We start from the raw sequence: 17,133 nt of genomic DNA on the forward strand, positions 1-17,133 counted from the left end.
GAAAACAAAATTAAATCACAATGGAAAAAAGGTAATTCCTAAAAACCAAAAGCAAAATTAATTCATCAGCGTATCAAGTTGATGACAACCACAGAGACACGTCACTTCAAATAACACACCCTAAGGACAAAAGGAACTGCAAAAAATAAATTTTAAGAAATACAGAGAGGGCCAGGCGCTGTGGCTCACGCCTGTAATCCCAGCACTTTCGGAGGCTGAGGCGGGCGGATCACAAGGTCAGGAGATCAAGACCATCCTGGCTAACATGGTGAAACCCCGTCTCTACTAAAAATACAAAAAATTAGCCGGGTGTGGTGGTGGGTGCCTGTAGTCCCAGCTACTCGGGAGGCTGAGGTGGGAGAATGGTGTGAACTCGGGAGGCGGAGCTTGCAGTGAGCCAAGATTGCACCACTGCACTCCAGCCTGGGCAACAGAGCAAGACTCTGTCTCAAAAAAAAAAAAAAAAAAAAAAACACAGAGAGAGATTAGAAATACAGATTAGATAGATAGATAGATATCCTTCCCCCTTTCTTAGATTGCTCCATACTAAAAGTTTTTTTTTTTTTAGGTTAGTTTTTTTTGTTTCTGAGATGAAGTCTCACTCTGTTGCCCAGGCTGGAGTGCAGAGGCACGATCTCGGCTTACTGCAGAGGCATGATCTCGGCTTGCTGCAACTCCACCTCCCGGGTTCAAGCGATTCTCCTGCCTCAGCCTCCCAAGTAGCTAAGATTACAGGCACATGCCACCACACCCAGCTAATTTGTGTATTTTTAGTAGAAACAGGGTTTCGCTATTGTTGCTCAGGCTGGTCTCAGGTGATCTGCCTGCTTCGGCCTCCCAAAGCACTGGGATGACAGGCGTGAGCCACCATGCCTGGCCTATTGTGAATAATGCTGCTGTGAACGAGTGCACAAATACCTCTTCAAGATCCAGCTTCCATTTGTTTTGGGTGTATCCCCAGAAGTGGAATTGCTGGATCATATGGTGATTCTATTTTCAACTTTTTGTGGAAGTGCCATAGTGTAGGCTATTTGCTTTTAAACCTAGAGTGTTTCTCAGTCCTGTCCCTACTGCTGTCTGTTACCAGGTTAGGGAATTTGATATGTGCCCATGGGTGGCCATGGCACATGACACTGTCCACCTGGATGGAGATCTGGGCCGGGCCTTGCGTCCAGGCCTTCTCCTGGCTCTCTCTGCATCTCCTATAGCACCTGCTTCACAGAAGTTGCTGCCATGTTACTTCATGCGTGGGTACCTGTGACTATTGTGTTGTCCCTGTGGCTTATGGGACGGCAGCCTCTAGGATTGTGGCCTGTCCTCCTGTGCACCTTTCTCCCTTGTGATGATGGCAGCCCTGTCCTCTTTTGTCTGCCTTTGGCAGCACGCCTGTCAATGCCTGTTCTTCCTACCCGGGGAGCCCTTCTCACTGTGCCTTTGTGGCGTCGAGTGGGTTTTGGTGTGTGAGCCGGCGCCAGCCTACAGCTCTCATCGAGAGCAGAATTAAACCCACTCGGCTCAACGTGACGACACAGGCTGGGTGTGCAGGCCTCCATCGCCCCTGGCGTCTGCTTCCCTGCATTTTCTTTGTTTGTGTTTTCCATTTGGTCTTTGCTAAGGTTCAGATTTGGGGTCTGGCTGAGTGTTTGGGGCACAGGCTAGTCACCGAGCGGGTTTGTTCCCTCGCTGCCTGCTTTACCAGTTGCTGATGTCGCATCTTCCCCCCGTCATCCTCCTGGAGTCTGTACTCAGCACATGTCACCAAGTCAGGCAGAGTCCTCACTCTCACGCTGCCCTGGTGGCAGTAGGCAGAGATGAACCACTCGGCCCTGCCCCAGGTGCACGGGGACCGCCCCTGCTGTGAGGCAGAAACAGCCCTAGGCGGCAGTAGCTCCCACGGAACCTCGGCCTGAGCCCTGGGGAGCAGAGACTGTGGGGTCCCAGGCACAGCCAGAGCTGAGATCGTGCCCCCGACTGCTCAGGGCGAGACCAGGCGCTGGGGGTGACCAGGCTGCAACCTGTTGCTCCTCAAGGCAGAGAGAGGGTGAAGGTCACAGCCAGGACTCGGGTTCCAGTCAGAGCCACAGCCACCCCCTGCTCACCCTCAGGAGCAGGACCCAGGGCTGAATCGTCACTCAGTGCATGCTCCTTGGTTTCTTCCTTTTGTCGCCTCTCCCTGGTCATGGTTCTCACCTGGACACTCTCTTTTCTTTCACATGCTGTTCTGAGACTGGGCGTGTGGCCCCTGTCCCCAGCAGCCCTCCCCTGCCACGGTCATTACACACTCTTCCTTCCCATGGCCGGTCTGTCTAGTTCACCAGCCTTGGAGGAAAGTGCATTAGGGGAGCTGGGCGGGGGGTGCTGGGCCACTGCAGACCACACTGGCAGGGGCTTGGTGACTGGGGCTGGCAGCTTGGTGAGCTCAGCTCTGGGCGCCTGGGTATCCTCATGGGGCAGCTGGGCACCCCAGAGCAGGGGCTGTCCTTACCAGCCTGGGGCAGCACAGGGCCGAGCTTTGGCTCCCCAGCACAGGGGCTCATGCTCCCCTCCCTGGACTGGGGTGAGTGGTCAGTCTCTGCCCATCGCCACTAGGGCCAGAGCTGTTGGCTAAGCTGGGGCAGGGCCTAGGCCTGAGCGCCTCCCCCGTCTGCTCCCCAGGGCGGCAAGGAGTACCTGATGCGGGCCCACTTCGGCCTGCCTAGTGTGGAGGCCGAAGACAAGGAGGGCAAGCCCCCGATCAGTGTCAAGTTCGAGATCCCTTACTTCACTACCTCCGGCATCCAGGTACGTAAGGCCCAGGCGGCCGGGGCCCAGAACAGGGACAGAGGCCGCAGGTGACAGATATCAATGCAGCCAGCTTGGGAAAGGGTGTCAGTCAGCTGCAATCAGGACCCTGCTGTGCTGTGGGCCTCTGCCTCCCCACAGACAGGGTGAGGCCAGGCTGCCTCTGCTCAGCCCTGACCCCTGAGCTCAAAGCTCACTCATTCTGCCCCAAACTAGCATTTGAGGCTCTGCCGTCCACTCATGCCCCATGGGACCTCTTTTCCCTGGCACCCCCTCAAAAGCCCACAGAGGGAGGAGAGGCTCCCAGAGAGCCAGGGGCCTTCTGGCCGGGCCCCCCAAGCAGGCTGCTGAGGCCGTGTCTGCAAGCCACATCCTGGCTGCTCACCACTTCCAGAGGCGGCTCTGCCCTCCCACACATTTGCATGGTCCAGACAAATCCCTTTCACCCCCCTGAGGCCTGTGCTCATCCTGTCGTCATGGCCTCCCCTGCCAGCCCCAGGCTGCCCCAGCAGGAAAGATTAAGGGGGGACCAACAGGGCGGGAGCCTGCGGTGCTCAGGGCCCTGCTACCTGTGCCCCAGGTGCGCTACCTGAAGATCATTGAGAAGAGTGGGTACCAGGCCCTGCCCTGGGTGCGTTATATCACGCAGAATGGAGGTGAGTGAGGCCCTACCCGTGGGGTGGGGTTGTACTGAGGGGTCCTCTGTGGCTGCCCCCAGGGTGGAGCCATCGGGTCGGGTCCCGAAAGCAGGGAGGGTGCAGAGCCCAGCATGACGCCTCCCTCCTGTCTCCTAGATTACCAGCTCCGGACCCAGTGAGGGGCTGTCGCAGCCAACACCCCGGCCTCGGGGCTCCTGGTGGCAGCACCAGGGGACACACCTGCCAAACCCACCAGATGGAGGGGCCCTCCCTGGTCTCTGGCCACCCTCCCAGCCTCTGCCCAGGGACCCCTGCCTTCCCCAGGCCATCTGCTCTGCCGTCGACACTCGTCTCAGAAGCCCCTTTCCCAGAAGAGGCTGGTCTTCAAGAAGTCTCGTTTCTTTGCCCCTGAAGTCAGTTTCAGGGGAAGGATGTGAAATTTTTCCGTGTAGAGGTTACAGCCTTTTATGCTGTTGAGCTCCCAGGTACCAAAAAGCTTGGCCAACGCTTGCCAGCCAGCCAGCTGCAGGTGGCATCTGCCACGAAGGAAGCGCCAGCCTCGCCAGGCCAGCAGGGGCGTCGTTTTGTTGCCATTTTGTTGAACGTTATGGGTTTATGGGTGTTCCTGGAACTTGTCTTTGTGCATTCGTTGCTGTTTGTGTTACCCTCACTGTCCCCATGTCCCACCCACGTCCTACGGCACTCAGGAAGCACTTGGTGAGGACGAGCCCTCACCCTTCTTGTCTTCCTTCCCGGCAGCGCCCGCAGCGGGCCATTTACACGTCGAGGCTGGCACCTGGCGCGCTCGGGGGCCACTGTAGCGTCTGCCTGCTCCCTGGACTCGCAGGCCTCGCCTGTGGCGCCTTCCCAGGGCCAGCCTGGGTCACGAGATGCTGTCACTCAGCCAGATCAGTATTGACCCACCAGGGGAGGTGGGGTTTGGTGAGAGACGCCAGCCTCAGACTTTTTCCCACTGAGGGTCCAGAGAGCGGGGCCACGTGTCACCCACGTCTGCGCTTGGTCACCCGTCCTCCCCACCCTGTGTGTGTTTATGTCATAGTTACATTAAATTCCATTCATTGAATACTCCACAGCCTTCCTCTGATGCAGCGTGGTCCCAACTCCTCCTGCGTGACCACAGGGCTTGCCTGGTTTTGTCGCCGACCTTCCCTGTGGCCCCACGAGGTGTCACCAGCTCCCTCTGCTTCCCCAGCTGAAACACAGGAAAAGCAGCTGCGGGAAGAGGCAGCTGCAGTGCTGGACCATGGGCCACCACTCCTGGGCCACACAGAGGAGGCCACAGAGGCAGAGTCTTCTCTCATCCAATCTGCTGCACCCTCAGATGGCCAACAGCTTGTCCCCACCTCTCCCCAAACTGATGGCCCACTCAGAGCATGGTCCTTGTGTCCACAGCAGCATCCCCTGTGTCCTAGCTAGAAATGCAGGTTCGTGGGCCAGCCCTGACCTGCCAAAGTGGAGGCTCTGGGGCCAGGGTCCCGGAAAACATTAACAAGGCCCCCAGATGCTTCTTCTGTGAACTGCTACTTGGTCCATGGGGGAAATAGCACATATGCAGGAAGTGCTGCCTGCTCTTGGCCCCCTCCCCGACCAGTGCTGATGGCCCTGCCTGGCCAGCACCCTCTTGCCTTCATTCTCCCCCTCCCTCTCCTGTCTTGCCGAGCTCGTCCTCAGGTGTCTAGTGGGCATCCGACCTAACAGCCTGAGTAGAACCTTCCGCCCACGTAGGTCTTCCCCATCTCAGTCAATGACGCTGCCCCAGCCCAGGCCTCAGACCAAAGCCCTGAAGGCATCCCTGGGGCCCCTCCCCTCACTGTCCACACCCATATCAGCAGCCAGCCCTCATGGCCCCTCCAGAAAACCCTGGGGCTGACCCCATTTGCCATCCTCGCTGCCACCCCCGGGGCCTAGCTCCAGTGTGGGCTGTCACTGTCCCCACCCTGTGGAGCCCCCATGCTGGGACACCGCAGGGACAGGAGAGGGCTGGTCCACAGGACAGAAGAGAGACTTCAGTTTCCAGCAACTTATCAGATAAGACCTGCAAACCCTCCACTACAGACTGTAGAAATGCAGGAAATGAAGCAGACGCACCTAGCCGTGCCCATAAAAAAGCAAGGAGACCCACAGGAGCCCAAGACGAAGGAAGTAGACGCGGAAGACACCGTGGGGGCTCACACCGGAGTTGCTCTTGGAAACCACCGGGTTTAGGTTTGGGGGCCAGGTGGCAGATAGGACTTTGGGCATCGGGAAGATGGTGAAATGCAGTGGAGATGACTCCTGCGTGAAGCTGGGATCCTCGAGGGTCATGATACTTAACAGTAAAAAGATGGACTAGAAAAAACATTTGCCCTCCACCCCTGAGAATAAGCACTGTGTCCTCTCTCTGCCTGAGATCCACAGGAGAAAAAGTCACCACTCATTTAGACCCCACGCTTGTAATATCAATCTGGTTTGCAGACAACCAGGCCAAGATGTTTATGACAGAAAACCTCCCTGGAGGGACCTAACTTCATGCCTTGTTACCTAAGATCCTCGCACACAATAGACCCTCAACATGAGGGCACATCCTGAAAATTACAAAACACGTGCATGAAAGCAAACTTGAAACAGCAGGATCAGATCCTCACGAACTTCAAAGATTATCGGCATGTAAACAAATACACTATGCAGTCAATCTGTTGCAAGTGCCTAAAGGCACAGAGACTCTGAATAGAAAAGAGCAAAATGCTGTTAAGACAGAGCTGTTACAACATCCAACAAGGCAAATAATTTGCATGCGGGTTATAACGTCTACAAATCAGAAAAAGAGAACCTAACAAAATGGGCTGTGTGTGAACAGACAGTATGAAGAAGATGAAATACAAATGGCGACCGTTCGGCCAGGCGTGGTGGCTCACGCCCGTGAGCCCAATACTTTGGGAAGCCGAGGCAGACCGATCACTGGAGGTCAGGAGTTCGAGACCAGCATGGCCAGCATGGTGAAGCCCCATCTATACTAAAAATACAAGAATTAGCCGGGTGTGGTGGTGCGTGCCTGTAATCCCAGCTACTCAGTATGCTGAGGCAGGAGAATGGCTTGAACCCAGGAGGTGGAGGTTGCAGTGAGCCAAGATAGTGTTACTGCACTCCAGCCTGGGCAACAGAGCGAGACTCCGTCTCAAAACACAACAAAAACCGGCCTAGCGCAGTGGCTTATGCCTGTAATCCCAGCACTTTGGGAGGCTGAGACGGGTGGATCACCTGAGGTCAGGAGTCCGAGACCAACCTGGCCAACATGGCGAGACCCCATCTCTACTAAAAATACCAAAATTAGCCAGGCATGGTGGCGGGCGCCTGTAATCCCAGCTACTTGGGAGGCTGAGGCATCAGAATCATTTGAACCCCAGGAGGCAGAGGTTGCAGTGAGCCGAGATCATACCACCTGCACTCCAGCCTGGGCAACAGAGCAAGACTTCATCTCAAAAGAAAAAAAAAAGGCAAACGTTCAACCATGTAGCTATTCAGGAAATATGTACACATAAACCAAGACCACAGTTAGATGCTATTTGCATCATGTCGGCCCCCCCCAAAAAAATTTTTTTTTTTGAGACAGGGTCTTGCTATGTTACCCAGGCTGGAGTGCAGTGGCGTGATCACGGCTCACTGCAGCCTCGAGCTGCCAGGCTCAGCCAATCCTGCCTCAGCCTCTTGAGGAGCTGGGACTACAAGCACATGCCACCATGCTGGGCCAATTTTTCATATTTTTTATAGAGATGGGGTCTCGTCATTTTGTCCACACTGGTCTCCAACTCCTGGGCTTGAGCCATCATCCTGCCTTGGCCTCCCAAAGTGCTGGGATTACAGGCGTGAGCCACCTCGCCACGCCTCCTGAACATCTAGAACGTGCTAGCTATGTACTGACTGTGGGAAAGTTGAGAACATCCTCCCTGAAGTCATCTTTATGCCAGAATTCTCTTGCAGAACTCTAGTTGAGAAAAGCCCTGAGAAGTCCATGCACCAATATATAGAGAAATATCAGGTGTACAGTTACACTTACAGCAGCATAGTTCATGATAGCAGGAAATTGGAAAGCAACCAAAAGTCCTTCAATAGGAAAAGGGACCACTGTAGTCCATTCATGCAAGAGATTACAGCAGTGAAAATGAATTCAACTAGAGCAGTGATATGGCTCAGAATACAACTTAAACAACATTGAGCGGGAAAAATGTTTACAAAAGAAAATGCAGTAATCTAGTATAAAATACGGAAATAATATTTTGCGTGCTTAGGGATCTATATATATCCAGCAAAAGTCTAACGAGATGCTTGAGAATTTGAAAAAATTCACATCCCTGGTTATCTCTGAAAGGCAAAAACAGGAAGGGGGTATGACTGGGGCCTCTGCTGTGTTGGCAATTTCCTTAAGCTTGGTATTGCTTAGTGGCTTGTTCTGTATTCTTTCTTTATGCTTTTTTTTTTTTTTTTTGACAGGGTGTCACTCTGTTGCCCAGGCCAAAGTGCAGTGGCATGGTCACGGCTCACTGCAGCTTCAAACTCCTGGGCTCAAGTGATCCTCCCACCTTGGCCTCCCAAAGTGCTGGGATTACAGGCATGAGCCACAGTGCCCAGCCCTTTTTGTAGTTCTTAATATACTTTTTGTAGTTTTTTTGTTTTTTGTTTTTGTTTTTGTTTTTTTTGAGACAGAGTTTTGCTCTTGTTGCCCAGGCTGGAGTGCAATGGTGTGATCTCGGCTCACTGCAACCTCCGCCTTCTGGGTTCAAGCAATTCTCCTGCCTCATCCTCCTGAGTAGCTGAGATTACAGGCATGCGCCACCATGCCTGGCTAATTTTGTATTTTTGGTAGAGACGGGATTTCTCCATGTTGGTCAGGCTGGTCTCGAACTCCCGGCTTCAGGTGATCCGCCCCCCTCACCTTCCCAAAGTGCTGGGATTACAGGCATGAGCCACCGCGCCCGGCCAGTTCTCTTTTTTTTTTTTTTTTTTTTTTTTTTTTTTTTTTTTTTTTAAGACTGCAAAGCTGGGCATGGTAGTATGCACCTGTAGTCCCAACTACTTGGGAGGCTGAGGCTAGAGGATTACTTGAGCCCAGGAGTTTAAGGACAGCCTGGGCAACATAGTGAGACCCTGTCTCTAAAACAAACCAACAAAACACCCCCCAAAAATGACAATGCAGATTTGGAAGAAAAAAATAGATTAAAAATGTAGTCATAGGAATTAACAACTTGGGGCCGGGCATGGTGGCTCACGCCTATAATCCCAGCACTTTGGGAGGCTGAGGCGGCCAGATCATTTTAGGTCAGGAGTTTGAGACCAGCCTGGCCAACATGGTAAAACCTGATTGCTACTAAAAATACAAAAGAATTAGCTGGGCGTAGTGGCTCATACCTGTAATCCCAGCTACTCAGGTGGCTGGGGCAGGAGATTCGCTTGAACCCGGGAGATGGCGCTCGCAGTGAGTCAAGATGGCACCGTTGTACTCTTGCCTGAGCGACACAGTGAGACACTGTCTCAAAAAAAAAAATTAACAACTTGGTTGGAGGGTGTTAAAATACAAGTGAGACATAGATGAAGAGAATTAGTGCACTAGAAGAGAGCTGTCTGAGGCAGTTACCCGGGACATAGCACAGCTAATGAGACATATATATATTTACAGTCAACCCTCCACATCCATGGGTTCTGCATCCATGGATTCAACCAAGAGTGAGTTGAAAATATTTGAAAAACAATTGTGTCTGTGCTGGACATGTACAGGTTTTCTTTTTTATTGTCATTATTCCTTAAATAATACAGTATAATGATTATGTAGCATCTACATTGTATTAGGTAATCTAGAGATGATTTAAAGATGATGTGCATAGGATATATGCAAATATTGTGCCATTTTATATAAAAGACTTGAGCATCCTCAGATTTTGGTATCCAAGGGGAGTCCTGGAAGCAATCCCTTGAGGATATGGAGGGACGACTCTGTGTGTGTGTGTGTGTGTGTGTGTGTGTGTATGTGTGTGTGTGTGTGTGTGTGTGTGTGATGTGCGTGTGTGGTTAGCACAAGACAATAAGAAGGCCCAACATGCCAGCAAGTATCTAACACAAACCAAAAAATGAGAACTGGGGAGCAGCCACATGCAAAGAGATCGTGGCCAGAATTTTCCAAAATTAATGAAAATCTTGAAGTGTTTTTTGTTTTTCATTTTGACGGAGTTTCGCGTTTGTTGCCCAGGCTGGAGTGCAATGGCGAAATCTCGGCTCATTACAACCTCTGCCTCCCAGGTTCAAGCAATTCTCATATCTCAGCCTCCCAAGCAGCTGGGATTACAGGTGCACACCACCACGCCCGGCTAATTTTTGTATTTTTTGTAGAGATGGGGTTTCACTATGTTGGTCAAGATGGTCTCGAACTCCTGACCTCAGGTGATCTGCCTGCTTCGGCCTCCCAAAGTGCTGGGATTACAGGCATGAGCCACTGCGCCCAGCCTGAAAATCTTGAAATTTTAAGATCCAGGAAACCGTTGAGTCCAAAGCATGATACACAAACCTAAATTCGTAACTAAAATAATCATAGTCGAACCACAGAACATATCAGACTCAGGGAAGATCCTAACAGCAACACTAAGAGATTAAAATGTCTCTCCAAAGAGCAATTGGACAGAGAACTGGTTTCACAACTGGAACAACAAAAGTCCGAAGATAGAGCATGGCTTCAAATTACTGAGAGAAGTGCAGTCTAGAATTCTGAGCCCACCTCATCTGTAAAAGGTAGGACAAGCCGGGCATGGTGGCTCCCGCCTGTAATCCCAGCACTCTGGGAGGCCGAGGCGGGCAGAGGTCAGGAGTTTGAGACCAGCCGGACCAACAAGGAGAAACCCCATCTCTACTAGAAATACAAAATTAGCCAGGTGTGGTGGCGGGCACCTGTGTTCCCAGCTACTTGGGAGACTGAGGCAGACAGAATTGCTTGAACCAGGGAGACAGAGGTTGCAGTGAGCCGAGATCGCGCCACTGTACTCCAGCTTGGGCAAAGTGAGATTCTGTCTCAAAAAAAAAAAAAGACAAGATAAAAACAATTTATCAATAACAGATTCCCCGAAAAAAGGAACTTGTGTACATAAGGAAAGGAAGAAAGATGTGAGAAGGAATGCCGGAAAACCTTAGAAACCATTGGATCTGTCTAAACTGTCATTGACTGTGTAAAGCAATAATAACAGTGACTAACGTATAGAGTAGCGACAAAAGGCGCAACTGAAGTACTAGACAACATCCTGGTGTTCATGCCTTTCAAGGTCACTATGCTATTTGGGAGGAGATTCGGCTAAAGTCCACGAGGGCCACGTATTTATATATAATTTCTAGACCAGTGGTTGGAAAAGGGTTGAAAGAAAACTTTTAACAGATTAATAGGAAGAAGGAAAAGAGAAGGAGGCGTAGAAAAATCAGGAGGCACTGGGCGCGGTGGCTCACGCCTGTAATCCCAGCACTTTGGGAGGCTGAGGCAGGCGGATCACCTGAGGTTGGGAGTTCGAGATCAGCCTGACTAACATGAGAAACCCCGTCTCTACTAAAAATATAAAATTAGCCGGGTGTGGTGGTGCATGCCTATAATCCCAGCTACTCGGGAGGGTGAGGCAGGAGAATCGCTTGAACCTGGGAGGCAGAGGTTGTGGTGAGCTGAGATCGCGCCATTGCACTCCAGCCTGGGCAATGAGCGAAACTCCATCTCAAAAAAAAAAAGAAAGAAAAAGAAAAAGAACAATCAGGAGGCCAGGTTCAGTGGCTCATGCCTGTAATCCCAGTGCTTTGGGAGGCTGAGGCTGAGACAGGTGAATTGCTTGAGCCTAGGAGTTTGAGACCAGCCTGGGCAACATGGAGAAACTCTGTCTCTACAAAAATTAGCCAGGCATGGTGGCGCACACCTGTAGTCCAAACTACTCAGGAGGCTGAGTTGGGAGGATCACCTGAGTTCAGGAAGCTGAGGCTGCAGTGAGCTGTGATTGCACCACTGCACTCCAGGTTGGGTGACAGAGTGACACCCTGCCTCAAAAAAAAAAAATAAAATAAAGGAAAAATCAGGATAAATGCAGGGATGTTCTAAACTTTTTAAAATAATAAATAATAGTACTTAAAACTGCACTGGGACTTTTGGGACACCCCTAGCATCTCTGGCTGCAGAAAGCATAAAATAAGATTGTAGAAATAAATCCAGATATTAGGAACCACAACAGGTGTAAATGAAGCAAAGCTGCTAGTTGAAGATGTTGTCGGATTGAACTGAAATACAAAATCCTGTGATATCCTGTTTATACGCGATACATCTAAAATGTAAGTACACAACACAATTGAAAGTAAAAAAACATTAAAAGATGTGACACTTAAAATATAAGCACACAACACAGTTAAAAGTAAAAAGACATTAAAAGATGCCAAAAGAAATCTCATATGGTTATATTAATTCCAGACAGAATAGATGTATTTATTTATTTATTCATTCATTTAATTTTTTGAGATGGAGTCTCGCTCTGTCGCCCAGGCTGGAGTGCAGTGGCGCGATCTTTGCTTACTGCAACCTCCGCCTCCCGGGTTCAAGTGATTCTCCTGCCTCAGTCTCCTCAGTAGCTGGGATTACAGGCATGCACCACCATGCTTGGCTAAATTTTTTTATTTTTGTATTTTTTTTATTTTTAGTAGAGACAGGGTTTTGCCATGTTGGCCAGGCTGGTCTTGAACCCTGACCTCAGGTGATCCACCCCCACTGGCCTCCCAAAGTGCTAGTGGCAGGTGTGAGCCACCACACACGGCCAGAATAGACTTTAAAGCAAGAAAGCAAAAGAAAAAATGTATTAGATCCCCGAGAAGTTTCCACACAACTCCAAGAATTATTATTAGAGTTCCCACTCTCTGAGGAATTTTCAAGAGAAATTAGTTAGAATTCAACAAGAAATAAATTACTTTAAAATATTTCCAAATATGAGAGGTTTTTTTTGTTTTTGTTTTTGTTTTTGTTTTTGTTTTTGTTTTGAGAAAGGGTCTCTGTTGCCCAGGCTGGAGTGCAGTCAGTGGCACGATGTCAGCTCACTGCAACCTTGGCCTCCTAGGCTGAAATAGTCCTCCCATCTCAGTCTCACAAGTAGCTGGGATTACAGGTGAGCACCACCAAGCTCAGCTATTTTTTTTTTTTTTTTGTATTTTTAGTAGAGATGGAGTTTTGCCATGTTGCCCAGGCTGGTCTTGCACTTGGGCTCAAGTGATCCACCTGCCTCAGCCTCCACAGTGCTGGAATTACAGGTGTGAGTCACCATGCCCAGCCAATATGAGAGATTTTAAAGCACATTTTTCAATCACCATGTGTCAAAGAAGAAAATATAATGGAAGTTAGAAAATATTAGAGAATGGCCAGGTGCAGTGGCTCATGTCTATAATCCCAGCACTTTAGGAGGCTGAAGCAGGTGAATCACTTGAGCTCAGGAGTTCGAGACCAGCCTGGCCAACATGGCGAAAATCCATCTCTACTAAAAATACAAAAATTAACCAGGTGTAGTGGCACACGCCTGTAAATCCCAGCTACTCAGGAGGCTGAGGCCCAAGAATGGCTTGAACCCTGGAGGCAGAGGTTGCAGTGAGCTGAGATTGTGCCACTGCACTCCAGCCTGGGCAACGAAACGAGAGTCTGTCTCCAAATAAATAATTAGAGAATATTTTTCAATCTGGATGCAGGTGACATGGGTGTGCTCTCGAGAATCCATCAAGCATTGATGATTTGCACACTCTTTTGTGTATATGTTACACTTCAGCAAAAACATTCACAAAGGGGAAAAAGGCAAAAGATACTTAAAGCAGCCAGAGGTAAAGACACATCACCTTCAGACATGACAACCAGACAGACAGACAGCTGGCTTTTCAAAGGAACCCAGAAAACAGTTGGGTGACATTTTCAACATGCTAAAAGAAAACCACTAACCCAAATCAGAGACCCAGCAAAAGTATTTCAAGAATGAGGTTACAGTAAAAACATTTTGCAGACAAATAACGAAAGAGTTTGCCAGCAGCAGGCTAACACTAAAGAAAATTGTAAACAGTGTACTCACATCAGGCACAAGGAAAGTGATCTCAGACGGAAGGGCATGATGCAAGAAGAAATAAAAGCAAAGAAGTAGAAAATACATGAGAAAATCTAGACAAAGATTGCATAAACAGTTTCTGGAGTTTTTTTAAGTGATAGAATTATACAACAGGAAAAAAAGTCTGCAGGGAGTAAACTGAGTTAAAATGTTCCAAGTTAATGACTGTCTGGGAGGAGAATAAATAACATGGATACACTTTGGGAGGCCGAGGCGGGCGGATCACGAGGTCAGGAGATCGAGACCATCCTGGCTAACACGGTGAAACCCCGTCTCTACTAAAAATACAAAAAATTAGCCGGGCGCGGTGGCGGGCGCCTGTAGTCCCAGCTACTCCGGAGGCTGAGGCAGGAGAATGGCGTGAACCCGGGAAGCGGAGCTTGCAGTGAGCCGAGATTGCGCCACTGCAGTCCGCAGTCCGGCCTGGGCGACAGAGCGAGACTCCGTCTCAAAATAAATAAATAAATAAATAAATAACATGGATAAAATTTGTTGTTTGTTGTTGTTGTTGTTGTTGTTGTTGTTGTTGAGACGGAGTTTCGCTCTTGTTGCCCAGGCTGGAGTGCAATGGCGCGGTCTTTGCTCACTGCAACCTCTGCATCCCGGGTTCAAGCTATTCTCCTGCCTCAGCCTCCTGAGTAGCTGGGATTACACGATGCGCCACCAGGCCTGCCTAACTTTGTATTTTTGGTAGAGGCGGGGTTTCTCCATGTTGGTCAGGCTGGTCTCAAACTCCCGACCTCAGGTGATCCGCCCGCCTCGGCCTCCCAAAGTGCTGGGATTACAGGCATGAGCCACTGCGCCCAGCCAAATCTGCATTTTGATAAGTATGCATTTTACTATCTAAGGGAGCTAAAACATTTTTATTATTTTAGCACTGTAACTTTGCTTTTCTTCTTTGTTTTGTTTTTTTGAGACAGAGTCTCACTCTGTCGCCCAGGCTGGAGTGCAGTGGCGTGATCTCAGCTCACTGCAACCTCCACCTCCTGGGTTCAAGCAATTCTCCTGCCTCAGCCTCCTGAGTAGCCAGGATTACAGGTGCACGCCACCACACCCAGCTAATTTATGTAATTTTATAGAGTTGTGGTTTCACCATATTGGCCAAGCTGGTCTAGAACTCCTGGCCTCAAGTGATCCACCTGCCTCGGCCTCCCAAAGTGCGGGGAGACCAGAATTCCACCCAGAATGACCTCTCTGTTCCTAGGAGTGTGACAGCATTTGGGGGGGAAAATAGCGTAGAGTTGGAATTTTTAAAATTCAGTTTGACAAAATGACTTTTAGCTGGAGCATTAAGTCCCTTTACATTTAATGTAATAACTGATATTACATTTAAGTATAAATTTAAATCTACCGTCTTACTTTGTTTTCTATTTTTGTCCTTTCTATGTTCTCTTTTATGTCCTCTCTGGATTTATTACAGATTGTTTGTGGCTTTTAAAAAAAGTCATTGCTTGAATGATGAGAGCTTATATTTAAAAAGGCAGGGGGCTAAAATAAATAAATAATTTAAAAAATAAAAATAAAGTCATTGTTTTCCTTTGAATGTTTGAGAGTTACAATTCTAGGCTGGGCGAGGTGGCTCAAGCCTGTAATCCCAGCGCTTTGGGAGGCCAGCCCAGGTGGATCACCTGAAGTCAGCATCGTGAAACCCCATCTCTACTAAAAATACAAAAATTAGCCGGGCACAGCGGCATGTGCCTGTAATCCCAGCTACTCGGGAGGCTGAGGCAGGAGAATCACTCGAACCTGGGAGGCGGAGGTTTCAGTGAACCAAGATCTCACCATTTCACTCTAGCCTGGGCAACAAGAGCAAAACTCCATCTCAAAAAGAAAGAAATATATATGAGTAGATATTAAATGTGTACACATATATACATATATAAAGGCTAAAATAATGATCTAAGCCTCCATCTCAAGAAGTTAGAAAAAGAACAACAAAATAAATGTAAGAGCACAGAAAGAAGGAAATAATAGGGAGTAGATACAAAGAAAATGGAAAAGAAACACTCAATAAAGAAAATCAACAAAGTGAGTTTATTTAAAAAAAAATGAATGAAATTGAAAAACCGCTAGGGAAATTGATCAACATGAAAAGAAAGCACACATAGCTGTTACTGGAATTGGGTTGGGGGAGACATTACTATAGATTTAAAGACATTAAAACGATTAGAACAGGACACATGTCTAGGGTTGTGTGAGGTATTCACTTCCCAAGGGTAGAGAGCTTCTGCTCACCAAGCTGTGATCCCTGGCCTAGAGTTCCAGCCACATAGCGAGAAAGGGGTTTCTTTTTCTAATTCACAAAACACGATACAGGCTAGTGGACCCCCAAATAAAAGAATATTTAGAATAAAACCCTATCAAAAAAAAAAAACAATAGCTAGAACAGTATGAACAATGCTAGGGGCTGGGTGTAGGTGGCTCACGCCGGTAATCCCAACACTTTGGGAGGCTGAGGCAGCTGGATCACCTGAGGTCAGGAGTTTGAGACCAGCGTGGCCAACATGATGAAACCCCGTCTCTACTAAAAATACAAAAAATTAGTTGGGCATGGTGGCAGGCACGTGTAATCCCAGCTACTCGGGAGGCTAAGGCAGGAGAATCGCTTGAACCTGGGAGGCGGAGGTTGCAGTGAGCCGAGATCACGCCACTGCACTCCAGCCTGGGCAACAGAGTGACTCTGTCTCAAAAAAAAAAAACTACACTTGATCTTAGCCAAAAGGCCAAGACACGATAAAATAATAATAATAATAAATGATGCTAAGGAAAAGAGTGACTTGCTGAAGGACGTTGTCCCCATTATGTGTGCAAAGTTTAAAATTACATGAAACAAAATGATGTATTATTTATGGCCAAATAATAAAAGATAGAGCCATCATCAGCATGTCTGTGATGGCCTAAGACCATCTTTTAATAAAGATTGTAATTCAGGTCATTCCCCTCCCCTGCTCAAAATCCTCCCATGGCTCTCCAGTGCCCTCAGAGTAAAGTCCCCGCTCCCTTGTCCTCCGGGTCCAGCTGGTCCTCCTCTGGCTTCCACTCTCGCCTTTCCTCCCTCTTCACCTGCCACTCGCGCCTCTTTGCCCCAAGCTTGTTCTCACCTCAGAACCTTTGCAGTTGCCAGTGCCTTCTGTCTGGTGCACCCTTGCCTCCGCTGCCTCCTTGAAATTCATTGCTCAACTCAAGTGTCCCCTCCCCTCCAGCCACTCCAGCTTGTCGAAACATGCAGCTGTGATTTGTTCCACTTTTGCTGGCACACCCCTGGTCTGCCTAGAAGTTCCACAAGGACACCCCCGCCCCATCTGATTTGTCACTGCTGTGTCTCTAGGGTCCAGAGCAGTACTGCTCTGGGACTGGGATCTGGGGATGCAAGGCTCTGCCAGCCGTGACCACCAGGGGGCATCCACGGGTCAGAAACCACGGCTTGGAGACCCACCCGGCCAGGCCACAGAGAGAGGTGTGCGGGACAGGCCTGGGAAGAGGGAGACTCCAGCCCTCTCTGAACACAGCGACCCCAACACCACTGCTATCCTTCCTGAGGGTCCTCCCTGCAGCCTGATGGTGAAGATGAGGAAACTGAGGCT

The 17,133-nt window shown here is 49.3% G+C and overlaps 1 protein-coding gene across 2 annotated transcripts in view; it reads left to right on the forward strand.

Annotated features, from left to right (window-relative positions):
* Positions 1-15,069, forward strand: part of AP1M1 (adaptor related protein complex 1 subunit mu 1) — a 47,996-nt gene extending 32,927 nt beyond the window's left edge. For both annotated transcript variants that reach the window (NM_001130524.2, NM_032493.4), the window contains 3 exons: positions 2,656-2,781; positions 3,362-3,437; positions 3,576-15,069. In NM_001130524.2, coding sequence (NP_001123996.1) covers positions 2,656-2,781; positions 3,362-3,437; positions 3,576-3,598 — 225 coding nt within the window. In that variant the 3' untranslated portion in view covers positions 3,599-15,069. The remainder of the gene's footprint in view (positions 1-2,655; positions 2,782-3,361; positions 3,438-3,575) is intronic.
* Positions 15,070-17,133: the final 2,064 nt, after the last annotated feature.

The sequence above is a fragment of the Homo sapiens genome, chromosome 19 (assembly GCF_000001405.40).
Source record: "Homo sapiens chromosome 19, GRCh38.p14 Primary Assembly".
Taxonomy (NCBI): domain Eukaryota; kingdom Metazoa; phylum Chordata; class Mammalia; order Primates; family Hominidae; genus Homo; species Homo sapiens.